The following is a 1,256-nucleotide window of genomic DNA, read 5'->3' on the forward strand; positions in this document are numbered from 1 at the left end:
CATCTATCCAAATCTCCTTCTTTCAAGACTCAGTTCAAATCCTAGCTCTACAATAATGTCATTTATCTCCCCCAAACTCCTACAGCATTTAACATCTGAACCATACATTTCAATTTAATTTTTTGAAGACCACATGCTCATCAGTTTCTCTAAGAGTCTTGCCTGATTATGGTAGGCTCCTCATGCATTATGCATCCCATTGGTGATGATACGGGGGACTTGCAATATATCAATTCGCATTTATGAATTCAATATTTAATCTGTTCAACTAGATTATCATTTACGCAAGAATAGGGACTATGTCTTATATCCTTATAGCAGTGTGTGATCTGACTCTTTCAGGTTGACTCTGTTTTGCAGGCTGATAGATGTCAAGACTTTGGTTGGGTTATTTTCTCCCCAAGCTAATAAAGTACAATGACTTCAATTGACTTTACGTTTGTTGACTTTCCTTTTGTTATCTGTAGTCTAATTATCTTTGTTGACAGTCCAGTCTCCCAGAAACCCTGTTGGGCTCTCTAGCACACCTTTGAAGAATGGCCACCATACATAATATGGATTATGTCAGACCGACCTGGGATTTATTCCACTTTTACCACTTAAAAGCGCCATCACCCTGGGCAAATAACATAATCTCCCCAAGCCTCATTTCTTCAACTGTAAAATGGGAATATTAATTGCATCAGGGTCAGAGGGTTGGTTGTAAGCCTTAAGTGAGGGTTGATGTGGGGAATAGATGAGGCAGAGCATGAAACTGTAAGTGCACATTGTAGATATAATAGTTCATGAGAGAGGTTAACTGATATGGTGTGGCTGTGTCCCCACCCAAATCTCATCTTGAATTGTAGCTCCCATAATTCCCATGTGTTGTGGGAGGGACCTGATGGGAGATAATTGAATCATGGGAGGGTAGTTTCCCCCATACTGTTCTCATGGTAGTAAATAAGTCTCACGAGATCTGATGGTTTTATAAGGGAAAACCCCTTTCGCTTGGCTCTCATTCTCTCTTGCCTGCCACCATGTAAGATACGCCTTTTGCCTTCTGCCATAATTGTGAGGTCTCCCTGCCATGTGGAACTATAAGTCTATTAAACCTCTTTTTCTTTATAAATTACCCAGTCTTGGATATGTCTTTATCAGCAGTGTGAAAATATACTAATACATTAACAGAGGTTAATAAAGTGGAAGATAATATAAGTGGAGTCACAAAGGTATTAGGTGGCAGAGCTCTTGAGTCTGGGCATCTAACTGCAGAA

The sequence above is a fragment of the Homo sapiens genome, chromosome 1 (assembly GCF_000001405.40).
Source record: "Homo sapiens chromosome 1, GRCh38.p14 Primary Assembly".
NCBI lineage: Eukaryota > Metazoa > Chordata > Mammalia > Primates > Hominidae > Homo > Homo sapiens.